We start from the raw sequence: 16,247 nt of genomic DNA, 5'->3' as shown, positions 1-16,247 counted from the left end.
AAAAAATAAATAAATAGAGATGAGATTTTGCTATGTTGCCCAGGCTGGTCTCGAACTCCTGGCCTCCTCATCCTCCTGTCTCAGCCTCCCAAAGTGCTGGGGTTAGAGGCGTGAGTCACTGTGCCTGGCCTAAGGCGGTCCTTGGCTCCAATTTATCCATCCTATCCTGGGTTTTACTTGAGGCCCTCACCCTAGAGAGCATCCAGGGACAGCTTTCAGGAGGTGAGGTCTGAGTCCCAGCACTGTCCTCAGGTGGTATCACATTGGGCAAGGTACTTCCCCTTCCCAGGCCTCAGCTTCTCTGCTGTAAAGTGGGGATGATACTTCCTGCTATGCCTGTCTCTTAGGCTGCTGTGAGAACGGAGGGAAAGTCCTTTGGAAAGGACTGCCCTTTCCTGCTAGCTGTGCAGTGGGGGCTTTTCATTCTCCTATCCTTCCACCACCATCAGTCACAACTTCCTTAGCCCTCCATTTTAACATCCATGTTGGTTTCCCCACCTAATGGTCATCTTGGGGATGGGGATCGAGTCTAGCTTGACACACAGGAGCCGTCAGGGGATGAGGGATGGACAAACTGGACTGGCGGCATTCCAGGACCCTCACTAGTACCTGCCTCCAGGTTCTGCTTCGTGCATTCTCAGTCCTTCCTGCGCAGTGTCTCCCCTTCACTCATCACCGTGTATACTTCCTGAGAGCCTTTGCGTGGACTGCAGTCCTACCTCAAATACCCTCCCTGCTCCTCTTCACTTGTATGAAACCACCCACTTCTGTAGCTCAGCTTAATGCTACGTCTTCCAAGGAGTCCTCCCTGAACACAACAGCTATGGCTTTCCTGACCTGTTTTCTGGGCTTTGGAAGCCCTGTTAGCACCATTCACAGCGGCACCGAATGAAGACAAGCGTCCTGGAAGCACCTTGTCCCCTCTTTCTGCCTTCTCTCTGCTCTGATCATACGCTTGAGAGCCGCAACACACAATGCTCCGGGTGGGAACACCTAATAGGTATTCAGACGTAATGTATTCTACTGAACGTCATCTCTAAGTCTGTCCAGCTGTTTTTCTAGTTGTTTCTGTTCTCTCTCCTCCCTCAGAGACACTCAGGGCTCCCCTGGAGTGGGGGTTGTGCCTCCCGCATAAGACTAGGCCCCTCTGGAGTGGCTGTTCTCTGCCATTAGAATGAAATCCCCTCAGGGGGGATTCTGTGACTCCCCATCAAACTAGAGGTTTCCTGAGAACAGAGACCAGGCCTTGTCCTCTTTCTGTGGCTTCCAAGCTTTCCAGAACACTGACCACAGGCCCAACCATGCTCCGGTGGAAGAACAGACATGGGGCACCAGGGGAAGAGAGAAGTATGAGAAACCAACCTTAAATTCAGGCTCCTTGCGTGCAAGGCGCCTGAGCTCACGGCTAAGCTGGAAGGCAGCCAGCATGGCATCCTCACTGGCCAGTGAGAGGTGGGCCCTGCTGGCGATGCCAAGGTAGGTGTTGATGCGGGACAGAGAGAGTTTCAGCAGGTCATAGCGGCGGGCGTTGCTGCACTCGAGGCAGGCACAGGAGACCGGGTGGGGCCGGGCAATGGTGTGGCCCTGTTCCATGAGCAGCTGTGCTATCTCATACAGGTCCTTCTGGCAGGCCTGGGGGAGGGGAGTCACACCAGGTGCAAAGCGGGAGCCATCAATTGATGAGTCAAAGAAAGCCAGTGAGAAAGACCTGGTGTCTACTTTGCGACCCTTCTCCCGTTCCAGCCGGGCCGGCAGGCGACGCACCACTGCTGCTGGTTTGTGTCCACTGCCACTAGCAGGGCCTCATGGATCTGGCGGAAGTCAAACTTGACACTGGCCAACAGCACATCGGTGAGGGCCTCATGGCCCAGGCGGATGGCCAGGTTGAGTGCCTCCCTCCAGCAGCGGTCCTCAGCCTCTTCCACATTCCACAGGGGCCAGCCTGGCCCACTGCTCGCTTGTGGCCTCAACCTCTGACTCCAGCAGCTGCTGCACAAAGCCCAGTCGGCCCTCCTGGATGGCATCCAGGAGTGGAGGTGGGAAGCTGAGCTTCCTGTTCACGATCTCAGTCCAGTTAGGCTGTTGGCGGACGAAGGAGTGGAGAGGCTAGGACCCTGAGTTTCAACTCCCTTTGTTTTGGGGCCTCTTTCACCCTTCCATGTTCTAGCACTTAACCCTCTATATCCAGCCACCATTATATTCTTCCTTGTCCCAAACACACACTGGCAAATATTGTCTCATTCACCATTTTATTGTGTAGATTCTCAGGTTAGGAAAATTGACACTGTACAGTGGGGGCTTTCTATTCTTCCCCCACTGGGTAGAGACTGGGGGCCCCTTCCTCAGGTGGGTCTGACCGGGGGCCCCTTCCTCAGCTTGACTTCTACCCTCACAGGAGCCCCCCAACAGCAGAGCTACCTGTGGGTACCTTGAGCAAGGGTAGGTTAAAGCAGGGGTGGGCTGCCCTGGCAGCCTAACCCCACATACGGGTGCACAGGATCTGTTCCGACCCAGCTCCCCTCTTGTTGACTTCATCTCCCAGCTGCTCTTCCCTCTTAAAGTCCTAGAGCCTCTCCCACAGGCAGGCCCGGACATGTCCACACAGGAGGGTTTTGTGTGGGCTTTTGCCAAGCCCCTCCGCTCTGACCAGGGCCCCAGCAGGATCCCAACATACTCTTTCTTCACCAATCCTCCCGCTTTGCCCTCCCCTGCTTTGGGGGGCATTTCTCCCCCTTGGCACTGCCTCATCCCTCTCTTCTACCAGGCCCGGCCCCATCCTCACTGCTCTTCTCTTCTGGGCCCAAGCTCAGGGTTCCAAGGGCTCTTCTCCCACCTACATAGTGATGTCAGCCATCTGCTTGGCAGCTAGGATGCCCCTGCAGTGCCTCTGGGCCAATCTTTTCTTTTATTCATGGGTAGAAATGGGAGCAGAATGGGAGAAGGTAGGGGAGCAGGCTTCTTACCGTGATGGGGTCCATGGCTGTGCCCACCTATGCTGGCACCTGTGCTGACAGGAACCGAAGGACTGAACTCCTGCTCAGTCTTCTCCCTGACTGTGCCTAGCACCCTCTTTTCTATCTATTCAAAACTCTGACCTGGGCCCTCTCTTTGCAGGACCAGCTGCTCCCCCTCTGCTCTGTACCCTGGGGACCAGGGGAACCGGTGTTAGTGCCACACAGTGAAATCTTCTGGGAAAGGGAAGAGAAGACATATTTGCTCAAAGAAGGTGGGAACAGAATTTGGAATATCACAGCTTGAGGGAATCTTTGACACCTTCTGGTCCAATCACCTCCTTGTGTAGATAAGGAATGGGATATGCCCAAGGTTCCACAGTCAAGCCTAGTAACTACTCCTTAGTCATTAACCCATCTGGTCCCTATCATAGCTCTGTGAGCGGGAGGATGGGAGATTTTTTTCTCTCAGTTAATTCTGGATGCTAAAATAAATAACTTGCTTAGTGTCACACACATCACCATTACCTGATTATGCCCAGGACAGGAGCCCACAAAGGAGACTGAGAGCTCGGTTCATGGGTTGCTGGATGTCAGCCTCGTGCTCAAAATCCACACGCACATTCCCAGCACACCACAGGATTTTATCTGTCAGGCAGCGTTTGCTCTTCACTGGGCCTCGGTTTTCCTTTCAGGAAAATGGGCATGAGAATGTGCACCACTCACAGAGGGAAAGACATTCTGGATGGTGTCCCAAGGCCCAAAAGTTCCAAGGAGACTTCCAAGGGGGAAAAGAACAGAGCTGGCCTTAGGAGAATCAGGTGCCATGGTCACAGAAGCCTTGACAACTGGGAATGGGGATCAGGCTAGGCACAGAGGTGCCCTCAGGCAGAGTCCTGAGGGAATGAGTGGAGAGGAGGAGAGAGGGAGCTTTGGCCTCAGCGGCTCTTCTCAGCTGTCAAGCGATTCAGTCCCAGTCTGTCACAGAGGGTGGGGCAAAACCACAGGACCTCATGGCTCACGCCTGAGGGAAGTCCCCACATATGCTGGCATGCTCTTCTACTTCTCTTGCTGAGAACCGCAACTGGCAGATAGGGCACGGAACCCAGGAGACAGGGGGTGAACTTTCTGGGGAGGACACCCACAGTACAGACTGGGACGAAGATGATGATGAGGAGGGAGAAGCTGGGTGAGGTGGGGAGGTCTCTCCACAAGTGGCAGCATGCTGGGGAAGAATCTCAATCCTGAAGGAACCTATGGGGGAGAGAAGGAGGTAAACAAAACGGCCTGCTCCCAGGCAGGATGTCACCCCAAGAAGTCTGTATAAGCTGTGAAGACAAATAACACTGATACACAGCAGACAGTGAGAAGTGCTAAGTCCAAGGGAATCAGATAATCCTGCAGAAGCTCAGTTGCGGGAGATGATCTGGGCAGATAAGAGAACACTTGGCAAAGTAGAACCGTTTGAACAGAGACTGAAAGAGGAACCAGCATTTGGACACGTAGGAAAAAGTTACGAAGGAAATTCTAGGCCCTCTCCGATCGTGTTTTACATTGCTTGGTTTCATTCTTCTCCTGAGGGCAGGGCCCATGTCCCTTCCTCAGCTTAGCTGGCACACTGTGCTCAGTACACACTTGTCTTGAATTACACTTGACTAAAAATACAGTTCCACACCTGAGAGCTGCAGAGATGACAGAAGCCAGCACTCCAAATTCAAATGTTTCTTGGCAGTACCCCCAGATCTCCTATTCCTCCCTCAAGGAATGCCTAGTTGTCATACAACAACTCCCTGTGCCCAAGCATCTTACCTGCACAAATCGGGCACTGTCCACTATCCTGGCCACCACTGCTTTGGGCCTGGGGTCGGTGCTGTTTTTTTTTTGCCATGCTCTTGCTGTCTCCCTCCTGTTTGGCCAAGAATTAGAGTTGGATAAAGGCCTGTGAGAAAGAACAGTTAAAGACCAGCTATTAGTAAGAGGCCATAAGGGCTGAAGGAGCCTGAAATCAGAGCAAAAATAATGTAGAAGAGTTAACATAGACCTAGAAACCCTGGGTTGGGGTCCTGGTTTTCCCACCTGATATACCAGACTTGAGGGAAGACATTTAACCTTTGAACATCTGAGAACAGAGATTCTATTACTGCCCTTGGGTTATTATTTTTTAATTGAAATATAGTACACATACCATAAAACTCACTCTTTAAAAATATAAATTCAAGACCAGGCATGGTGGCTCACACCTGTAATCCCAGCACTCTGGGAGGCCGAGGCAGGCAGATCACCTGAGGTCAGGAGTTCGAGACCAGCCTGGCCAACATTTACCTGTCTCTACTAAAAATACAAAAATTAGTTGGGCGTGGTGGCGGGCACCTGTAATCCCAGCTACTCAAGAGGCTGAGGCAGGAGAATTGCTTGAATCCAGGAGGCAGAGGTTGCGGTGAGCTGAGATTGTGCCATTGCATTCCAGTTTGGGCAACAAGAGCAAAACTCCATCTCAAAAAACAAACAAACAAAAACCAAAAATTAGCTGGGTGTGGTGATGCGCACCTGTAGACCCAGCTTGGGAGGCTGCAGCAGGAGAACAGCTTGAACCTGGGAGGCTGAGGTTGCAGTGAGCCGAGATCATGCCACTGCACTCCAGAATGGGTGAAAAGCACAACTCCGTCTCAAAAAAAAAAAAAAAAAAAAAAAAAAAATATATATATATATATATATATACACACACACACACATACATATTCAATTGTTTCAATTGTTTATATATATATAAATTCAATTCAAAACCCTGTATTGACAGAGTTGTGTAATCACAACCATGTAATTCCAGAACATTTTCATTACCCCCAAAAGAAACCCCAAACCCAGGCTGGGCGCAGTGCCTCACGCCTGTAATCCCAGAATTTTGGGAGGCCAAGGCAGGTGGATCACCTGAGGTCAGGAGTTCAAGACCACCCCGGCCAACATGGCAAAACCCCATCTCTACTGAAAACACAAAAATTACCTGGGTGTGGTGGCATACACCTGTAGTCCCAGCTACTTGGGTGGCTGAGGCAGGAGAATGGCTTGAACCAGGAGGTGGAGGTTGCAGTGAGCCGAGATTGTGCCACTGCACTCCAGCCTGGGCGACAGAGCGTGACACCGTCTCAAAAAAAAAAAAAAGAAAAAGAAAAAGAAAAAGAAAAGAAACCCCAAACCAGACTCTGGCAACTGCTAATCTACTTTAGTGGTTTGGAATTGCCTATTCTGGACATGAAATCATACAATATATGGTCTTTTGTGACTGAATTCTTACACTTAGTATGGTTACAAGGTTCATCCATGTTGGAGCAGGTATTAGTACTATATTCCTTTTTGATGGCTGAGTAATATTCCACAGTATAGCTACACCACATTTTATTTATCAGCTGATAGACATTTGGGTTGTTTCAATTTTTTGGCTATTATGAATAATGCTGCTTTGAACATTTGCCCGTTAAGTTTTCGTGTGAACACCTGTTATCAATTCTTTGGACATAAACACCTAGGAGCTGAACTGCTAGGTCATATGGTAACTCTATATAAACATTTTGAGAAACTGCCAAACTGTTTTCCAATCAGTTGCACTATTTTACATTCCCACTGGCAATATGTATGAGAGTTCCAATTTCTCCATATCTTCGCCAACACTTGTTACTGTCCATCTTTTTTATTACAGCCATCCTAGTCAGTGTGAAATAATCATTGTGGCTTTTGATTGGCATTTCTCTGATGGCTAATGATGTTGAGCATCTTCTATGTGCTTAATAGCCATTTATATATCTTCTTTGGAGAAAATTCTATTCAGATTCTTTGTCCATTCTAAAAATTAGGATATCTTTCTATTGTTGACTTGTAAAGGTTCTTTATGTATTTTAGATAAAAGAGCCTTACTGAATATATGATATGCAAATACTTTCTTCCATATTCTATGGGTTGTCTTTTACTTTCTTGACAGTGTCCTTTGAAGCAGAAAAGATTTAGATTTTTTTTTTTTTTTTTTTTTTTTGAGACAGAGTTTCACTCTTGTTGCCCAGGCTGGAGTACAATGGCGCGATCTCGGCTCACTGCAACCTCCGCCTCCTGGGTTCAAGTGATTCTCCTGCCTCAGCCTCCCTAGTAGCTGGGATTACAGTCGTGTGCCGACACACTCAACTAATTTTTGTATTTTTAGTAGAGACAAGGTTTTGCCTTGTTGGCCAGGCTGGTCTTGAACTCCCGACCTCAGGTGATCCGCCCACCTCGGCCTTCCAAAGTACTGGGATTACAGGCGTGAGCCACTGCGCCCGGCCAAAGATTTAGATTTTGATGAAGCCCGTGAAATACAGCACACTCATCTTCAGATTCTGGTTCACTACAGGACTGCCTGTTTGCCTAGTTCCAAACCTGACAACATGTGGACAAGGATATCTTTTCTTCACTGCCCTTAGGTCTAGACCCACAGGTTAAACCCAGACACAAGGATACTCTCTGACCTTTAATGAAACAAGATTGGGGGGAAGGACAGCTGCAAAAGGGCAATAAGGTTTGGGGAGGTGATTTGGGTCTTTCATATTGATCTACTTACCTTTGGTGCTGCACTTTCCTTCTTTTCATCCTGCGTGCGTCATTCTCAGAGTTTTGCTCCTCTGCTCTGGGATCTGTATTAGAAATGCTCGTTAAATACAGCTCTTTAACAAAGCAGTCTTCACATATGATGTTCCTTCCTCTAAGAATATTCTTTCTACCCTCTTTGCCTGGAGGCAAAGAGTGTGCCTTTCTCACTCTTCAAGTCTTAGATGAAATGCTAATTCCTATGAGGCACTTTTCCTGGATTCTCTAATCTAAATCTAGTCCTCCAATTATACTTTTCCTTGACAGTACTCATCACAGTTTGAAGATTTAAATTTATCTGTGTGACACTGACATGTGTTTCTCCACTAGGGAAGGAGCATTGCTATTTATTACGGTATCCCTAGCACAGAGCCTGGCACAAACGATGTTTAATAAATATCTGTCAAACGAGTGATAATAAAAACCATCAACCTCCATTTGTCTGGTTATTCTGAATTTATGAAACACTTTGTACAGCATTTAATATATTTTAAAGTGCTTTCATAGCTCCAGGGCCCAGCCTATAGTAGGTGCCCAAAAATTATGAGTTCCCTTCTAGTCTCTTTTTCTTAAAATAATAAACTACGTCTTTTCTTATGTGGTAGACAGCTGAGGCCCAAAGAGATAAGGATTCCTGATTCCTAGGCCAGTGCTTTTTCAATTACTGTACAATATTTGATTTGTCTTCTGGTAACAAGACACCAACAATTATCTGTTCTACCACATGAAGTCCCACTTGTGAGCCATCCCTGCAGAGCAATGGTAGATTCAGGGAGGAAGGGCACTGCTAGGGACAGGAAGGAACAGGTCGTGTGAACTCACCTGCCCTGTCTGGATGACTGGAACCTGGTTCTGCATGGTTGTTCTTTGGGCTTGCCACACTGACTGGAGGCACCCTGTGGGCAGCAGAAAGCACCATGTGGGCTGAACGCCCCAGAGTCCCTGGCTGCAACTGTGTTAGGATATTCCTGAGCTCTGAAATTTCCTTGGTGTCCCTGCAGGGAAACAGAGAGTACTTGGTTCCACTTGAAATATAGATCTTATTCTGCTTACTCAAGTCAATGGCATCTAAGCAAGAAAGCTAGTTTAATATACAGATAGGGTTAGGCCTAGAGTACGTGATTAATTTGGTGAACACAGGCTGGTCTTGTGTGCTTGTCAGTGACTTGATAGCATTTCTTTTCCAGGAGAAAGATCTCAGAGGTGGCTGGGAGACTTCCACTCTGTCAGGTACATACGTACGGGGATGTGGGAAGAATGTCCTCCGGCTGGAAGGATTAGCTAGCCAGGGGCTAGGACCAGACTCCTCAGCATCAGAAGAACCCTGAGGAAAAACGATGGAGAGATATGAAATACCAAGATTCACCACCAGGGGACACTGCTACCTAGTGCCAGGGCCTACTCAAACTATCAAACTACTCTTAAATGACTGAACTTTTTGGGGACATTTATTTCATTATTTCCTTCTAAATATTATCTAATAATATTGTTAAGTTTTTAGTATGATTTATTTTGTGAACAGTTTTGTTAACTTACAACTAAAAACCTACCAGTTTTAGCCACAGTTTCTAGCCATCTACAAAGAGGTGTGTGTATATATATACATATAGATATCGTGCAGAGAGAGCATTAGCCACCATATCTAACTATCACAGGCATTTTATAACCTCCTTGCTCCAGAAATGTCTATGTGCAATAATCTCCCAAGATAATTTCTGCATAGAGATTTTATTTATATCGTAGTATGCTGGCTTCTTAATTCTTTGTCAAAATTCAATTTATCTGTGATTATACCCCTACTTTTTAAAAAAGAGATGGGGTCTCACCCTGGGTACAGCGATTTGTGGCTGTAATCTCAGCACTTTAGGAGGCCAAGGTGGGAGGATTGCTAGAGCCCAGGAGTTTGAGACCAGCCTGAGCAACATAGTGAGAACCTGTCTATACAAAAACAAAAAAATTAGCCAGGCGTGGTAGTGCATGTCTGTGGTCCTAGCTACTTGGGAGGCTGAGGTGCTGAGGTGGGAGGACTGCTTGGGCTTCAGAAGCCAAGGCTGCATGCAGTGAGCTGCGACTGCACCACTGCACTCCAGCCAGGTGACCAGAGTGAGACCCTGTCTCAAATAAAAAGAAGAAAAAAAAATGGGGTCTTGCCCTACCCAGGCTGGGATGCAGTGGCAGGATCATGGCTCACTGTAGCCTTGAACTCTGGGGCTCAAGCAATCCTCTCACCTCAGCCTCTTGAGCAGCTGGGACCATAGGCTCACACCACCATGCCCAGCTAATTAAAAACAATTTTTTGTAGAGACAAGTTCTCACTATGTTGCACGGGCTGGTCTCAAACTCTTGGGCTCAAGCGATTGTCCCTCCTCGGCCTCCCAAACCACTGAGATTACAGGCATGTGCCATTGCATTGCACCCGGCCCCTAATTTTTTTTTTTTTGAGACACAGTCACACTCTGCCATCTAGAATGGAGTGCAGTGGCATGATCTCAGCTCACTACAACCTCCGCCTCTCAGGTTCAAGCGATTCTCGTGCCTCAGCCTCCTGAGTAGCTAGGATTACAGGCGTGCACCACCACAGCCAACTAATTTTTGTATTTTTAGTAGAGACAGGGTTTTGCCATGTTGGCCAGACTGGTCTTGAACTCCTGGCCTCAAGTCATCTGCCTGCTTCAGCCTCCCAAAGTGCTGGGATTACAGGCATGAGCTACTGCACCTGGCCCCCTAATTCCTTTTTCCTTTTTTATTTATTGAAATTTCCTTTTTCCCCTTATCTTAAAAAATTTTTGTCTTTAATTTTCAACTCTGATTCTTCTATCACAGGTTATTTTAAAGGTAAATGTCTTTCTTGTAAAGCATAACTTTGGCTTCATTCTACAAGCTTGAGTAGTATTTTTATTCTCATTAACTCTTTAATATTTTCTAATTACCATTACAATCTTTTCTTGGACCTAGCAATAATCCTGAAATCTTTTCTTTAATTTTCCAGGTTTTTCATTTTTCTTTACCTTGTCTCATGAATGTTACAGTGAATGCTACTAGAAAGGGTAACTAGATAGGTGTGTAGAGATAGTTTATTTTAACCTTAACTCTAAGTGAGATTATCAGGAAATTAATTATTAGGAAATGATTCATTATTAGCTTCTGAGCAACGGTTAGTTGGAATCAAGTGGCCTAGGTTCAAATCCGCTCCAAGACTTATTTGGCAGTGTGACCTGGGTCACCCCACTAAATTTCTCTGTGCTTTTCTTACTAGAAAACTGGTGATCATAATAACCCCATTTCACAGAGTTAAAAGCCCTATGTTTTGCTTTCACTATAACATACCAATTAGAATGACTCATTAGAAAAAAAGTCTATGACGTTTTAGGCACCCTAAATTATAAAACTGAGTGCCATCCATCTGTAATCCCAGCTTACATGTACCATCTGTCTCTTGCTGAAATGTTGCAGGACATTCCTTCGCTACAGTTTCACAAAGTACCTGCATGTATGTTTCACCCTGCTGTTGATGTTCAATACCCTTCTGATAAGACTCTGCAGTTGCTGTCTCCCTTTGACCTCCATCCCACCATGGTCCTAGAAGTGCAGAGTAATGTAGATGGCCAAAATGGAAAAGAACTCTGAGAAACTTTTATTTATCCTAAAACTGGGGTGAACGTAGGTACCGGTTTGCCTGGAACAGTCTTATCTGTTGTCTCAGTACAATAATAATAATAATAATAATAATAATAATAATAATAATAATAATAATTTTTTGAGACAGGGCCTCACTCTGTCACTCAGGCTGGAGTGTAGTGGTATGATCACGGCTCACTGCAACCTCGATCTCCTGGGCTCAAGTGATCCTCCTACCTCAGCCTCCTAAGTATCTAGGATGACAGGCACGGGCCACCATGCCTGGATAATTTTTTTTTTTTTCTTCAGACAGGATCTAGCTCTAGGCTGGAGTGCAATGGCACAATCACAGCTCACTGAAGCCTTGAACTCCCAGGCTCAAGTGATTCTATCACCTCAGCCTCCTGAGTAGCTGGGACTACGGGCGTACACCACTGTGCCTAATTTGTTATTTTTTGTAGAGATGGGGTTTTGCCATGTTGCCCAGTCTGGTCTCAAACTCCTGGGCTCAAGCGATCCATTCACCTTGGCCTCCCAAAGTGTTGGGATTACAGGCATGAGTTACTGCACCTAATTTTTAAATGTTTTGTAGAGGCTGGGTGTAGTGGTACACGCCTGTAATCCCAGCACATTGGGAGGCTGAGACAAGAGGACTGCTTGAGCCCAGGAGTTTGAGACCAGCCTGGGCAACATAGTGAGACCTTGGTCTCTATAAAAAACAGAGGTGGGAGGTTGCAGTGAGCCGAGATTGTGCCACTGTGCTCTAGCCTGGGCGACAGAGCGAGACTTTGTCTAAAAAAAAAAAAAAATTATTTGGGTCTGGTAGTATGCACTTGTAGTTCCAGCTACTGAGAGCTTGAGGCGGGAGGATCGTTTGAACCCAGGAGGTAGAGGTTGTAGTGAGTGATCACACCACTGCACTCCAGCCTGGATGACAGAGCAAGCCCTTGTCTCATAAATAAATAAATAATAAATAATAAAGTTTTTGGCTGGGCACGGTGGCTCATGCCTGTAATCCCAGCACTTTGGGAGGCCGAGGTGGGAAGATCACGAGGTCAGGAGATCAAGACCATCCTGGCTAACACGGTGAAACCCTGCCTCTACTAAAAATACAAAAAATTAGCCGGGCGTGGCGGCGTGCGCCTGTAGTCCCAGCTGCTGGGGAGGCTGATGCAGGAGAATGGCGTGAACCCGGAAAGAGGAGCTTGCAGTGAGCCGAGATCGCGCCACTGCACTCCAGCCTGGGCGACAGAGTGAGACGCTATGTAAAAAAAAAAAAAAAAAAAAAAAAAAAAAAAAAAAAGAATAATAATAGTAATAATAAATTTTTTGTGGAGACAGCATCTCGCTATGTTGCCCAGGCTGGTCCTGAATTTCTGGACTCAAATGATCCTCCCACTTTGGTCTCTGCAAGTGCTAGAATTAAAGGCATGAGCCACTGTGCCCGGCCTTAGTGTAATTATTAATAGCACTCTCCTTTGCCCTTAAAGTGTCCTGTTTTGGATGATAAGTTTTATGGTGGCTCTATCTACAACTCCCCTTTGAAAGGTCACTTATATAATGAACATTTACACTAAAAGGCTACTTTGCTCTGGGCAATGTTCTAGGTGCCAGGAATGCATTACAGAACGAGACAGACAGGTTCCTAATCTCACGGAGCTTCATTTTATAGACTGGGCAGGATCACAGAGATCGAGCTCCAGTCAGGTCAGCTCCTAGCACTGCCACAGTGGAACCTGGCACACTGGAACGTGGCACTGCCACAGTGGAACCTGGCACACTGGAACCTGGCACTGCCACAGTGGAACCTGGCACACTGGAACCTGGCACTGCCACAGTGGAACCTGGTAGGGCACACTGAACTGGCACCATCGGCCTTTTTACATTTTTTAGCCCTTTCCACAATGGAAGAATAGTCTCAGACCAAACTTGACTTTGTCTTAACTCTCTGGATCTCTCCTAAAACTGCACGACAAAAGGATCTACTCTTGTTCTTTCTGTTCTAACTTCATTTTCTCTTCCCAATGCTGCCTCTCTTTCCTCAGGAATCTCAAAAGGAGTGACTCTTGTGAAGTTCGCTCATGTGAACTGAGATTCTTTCAGTTTGAAACTTCTAAGAAATGTATAGTGTGCGCAAGAGGCAGAGTGTGTAGTGTAGGCAGAGTGTAGGGACAGGAGACCTAGTCCTTATGCTGTTCTGATTTGCTGTATGACTTTGAACATATAAAAGTTTTCCTATCTGAGATGGAAAATGAGATGGTGGGGGCTGGATGATCTCTAAAATTCCATGACTCTAGCTTTGTATGATAAAACACTCATTTTTTTATGAATGAAATACGATGGAGGGTGCTGGCTTAGAAAGATAAACAAGTGTAACAAGAAAGCAAGAAGAGAGGAGTCAGAATAGGCTTAAGAAAAAAACTAGAAGCCTGGTTGAGCAAATCGAAGTAAATTGATATAACCTCAGGGCTAGAAATCCATATATCTTATCTTAGGTGTACAGGCATACTTCATTTTATTGTGCTTCATAGATACTGTGTGCTTAAAAAAAAAGGAAGGTTTGTGACAACACTGCAAGTCTATCAGCACCATTTTGCCAACAGTATGTGCTCACTTCGGGTTGCTGCGTCACATTTTGGTAATTCTCACATTTCAAACCTTCTCATTATTATTGCATCTGTTACGGTGATCTGTGATCAGTGATCTTTAATGTTACTATTGTAACTGTTTTGGGGGTGCCACGAATTGTGCTCACATAAGATGGTAAACTTTTTTTGTTTTTGAGACAGACTATCGCTCTGTCACCCGGGCAGGAATGCAGCTGCACTAATCATAGCTCACTGCAGCCTCAAACTCCTGGGCTCAGGCAATCCTCCTGCCTCAGTCCCAAGTAGCTGGGACTACAGATGTGTGCCACCATGCCTGTTTAATTTTTTTTTTTTTTTTTCTAGAGACAAGGTCTTTTTTTTAGACACCTGACCTCAAGTGATTCTCCCATCTCAGCCTTACAGGTATGAGACACAGTGCCTAACCTAAGACGGCAAACTTAATTGATAAATGTTGTATGTGTGCTCTACTGACTGGTCATTCCCCTGTCTCTCTCCCTCTCTTCAGGCTTCTCGACTCCCTGAGATACAACAGCATCGAAATTAGACCATTTAATAACCCTACAATGGCCTCTAAGTATTCAAATGAAGTGAAGAGTGACATATCACTCACTTTGTGGTTGCAGGGAGCAGGGTGATGAAAGGTCTGTCTGGGGCCAGGAAGAATGGCCCACATCAATCTGCAGGAAAGCACAGCCACAGAGAGAAGGACAAGAGGGATGAGACGACTACTTTAGTAAGAAAGGCTTGGCAAAGGCTAAGGCAGGCTGAAAGCTAGGCCTCCTGTGGCAAATAGTTAGCCAAGTGGTAAATGCAGAGAAAAAATTCTTTTTTTTTTTTGAGACAGGGTCTCACTGTCACCCAGGCTGGGGTACAGTGGTGCAATCTCAGCTCACTGAAACCTCCACCTCCCAGGCTCAAGTGATCCTCCCACCTTGGCCTCCCAAGTAGCTGGGACTACAGGCACGTGCCACCACACCCAGATAATTTTATTTTTATTTTTTATTTTTTAATTTTTTTGAGACGGAGTCTTGCACTGTTGCCTAGGCTGGAGTGCAGTGGCACGATCTCGGCTCACTGCAAGCTCCGCCTCCTGGGTTCATACCATTCTCCTGCCTCAGCCTCCCAAGTAGCTGTGACTACAGGTGCCCGCCACCACGCCCGGCTAATTTTTTATACTTTTAGTAGAGACGGGGTTTCACCATGTCAGCCAGGATGGTCTCAATCTCCTGACCTCATGATCCACCCACCTTGGCCTCCCAAAGTGCTGGGATTACAGGTGTGAGCCACTGTGCCTGGCCAATTTTTTTTTTTTTTTTTGAGACAGAGTCTTGCTCTGTCACCCAAGTTGGAGTGCGGTGGTGCGATCTTGGCTCACTGCAACCTCTGCCTCCCGGGTTCAAGCAATTCTCCTGCCTCAGCCTCAGTACAGATTGCACCACTGTACTCCAGCCTGGGTGACAGTGAGACCCTGTCTCAAAGAAAAAAGAAATTTTTCTTTGCATTTACCACTTGGCTGTTTGCCATAGGAGACCTAGCTTTCAGCCTACCTTAGCCTTTGCCATGCCTTTCTAACTAAAAAGTAGAAAGTAAAGTAGCTGGGACAACAGGTGCATGCTGCCAAACTCAGCTAATTTTTCATATTTTAGTAGAGACAGGGTTTCACCATATTGCCCAGACTGATCTCGAACTCCTGAGCTCAGGCAATCCGCCTGCCTCGGCCTCCCAAAGTGCTAGGATTACAGGCATGAGCCACCGGGCCCGGCCAATTTTTGTATTTTATGTAGAGATGGGGTTTTTGCCATATTGCCCAGGCTAGTCTTGAACTCCTGAGCTCAAGGGATCACCTGCCTTGGCCTCACACAGTGCTAGGATTACAGGCGTGAGCCACCGCATCCAGCTGAAAAATTATTGAATAAAATTAAAAGTGCTACTCTAGTGAACACATGAATGATAAGAAAGCAAAACAGCCTTATTGCTGACATGGAGAAAGTTTTAACAGTATGGATAGATCAAATCAGCCATGATACACACTTATCCAAAGCCTAACCCAGAGCAAGGCCCTAACCCTCTTCAATTTTATGAAGGCTGAGAGAGGTGAAGAAGCTGCAGAAGAGAAGTCTGAAACTAGCAGAGGTTGGTTCATGAAGTTTCAGGAAAAAAATCCATCTTCTTAACATTAAAGTACAAGAAGCAGCCGCAAGTACTGATGGAGAAGCTACAGCAGGTTACCCAGAAGATCTAGCTAAGATCATTGATGAAGGTGGCTACACTAACAACAGATTTTCAATGTAGATGAAACTGCCTTCTATTGAAAGAAGATGCCGGGCAGGCACGGTGGCTCATGCCTGTAGCGGGGTGTACTCCCCCTGCGATATTGGGAGTAATGTCGTCCTCCCCAAACCTGGATGTTAGCGACGAGATCACAGAAAGGGTGTACACACCCTGCGACATTGGAAGTAAT

General features: G+C 46.6%; 1 long non-coding RNA gene and 1 pseudogene across 2 annotated transcripts, besides 2 other annotated features; one reads left to right on the top strand and one right to left on the bottom strand.

Moving 5' to 3' along the window:
* Positions 2,202–2,726: an enhancer, noted in NCBI's record as "H3K27ac-H3K4me1 hESC enhancer chr11:3637291-3637815 (GRCh37/hg19 assembly coordinates)". NCBI's record gives its function as "activates a minimal SCP1, AML or CMV promoter by ChIP-STARR-seq in primed H9 embryonic stem cells {active_cell/tissue: H9 hESC(primed)}" and the evidence as "EXISTENCE:reporter gene assay evidence [ECO:0000049][PMID:30033119]".
* Positions 2,727–3,251: an enhancer, noted in NCBI's record as "H3K27ac-H3K4me1 hESC enhancer chr11:3636766-3637290 (GRCh37/hg19 assembly coordinates)". NCBI's record gives its function as "activates a minimal SCP1, AML or CMV promoter by ChIP-STARR-seq in primed H9 embryonic stem cells {active_cell/tissue: H9 hESC(primed)}" and the evidence as "EXISTENCE:reporter gene assay evidence [ECO:0000049][PMID:30033119]".
* Positions 4,035–8,463, bottom strand: XNDC1CP (XRCC1 N-terminal domain containing 1, C-terminal like pseudogene; annotated as a pseudogene). The gene is made up of 4 exons (NR_164660.1): positions 8,382–8,463; positions 7,534–7,606; positions 4,761–4,890; positions 4,035–4,205 (listed from the first exon to the last, which is right to left on the bottom strand). The product of NR_164660.1 is annotated as an XRCC1 N-terminal domain containing 1, C-terminal like pseudogene (transcript).
* A 4,394-nt stretch (positions 8,464–12,857) lies between these two features.
* LOC124902617 (uncharacterized) lies at positions 12,858–14,601 on the top strand. The gene is made up of 3 exons (XR_007062558.1): positions 12,858–13,024; positions 14,129–14,188; positions 14,292–14,601. It is a non-coding gene; the product is annotated as an uncharacterized LOC124902617 (long non-coding RNA).
* The last annotated feature ends 1,646 nt before the right edge of the window (positions 14,602–16,247 follow it).

Source organism: Homo sapiens, chromosome 11 (assembly GCF_000001405.40).
Source record: "Homo sapiens chromosome 11, GRCh38.p14 Primary Assembly".
Taxonomy (NCBI): domain Eukaryota; kingdom Metazoa; phylum Chordata; class Mammalia; order Primates; family Hominidae; genus Homo; species Homo sapiens.
This window is presented reverse-complemented; position numbering and strand designations above follow the sequence as displayed.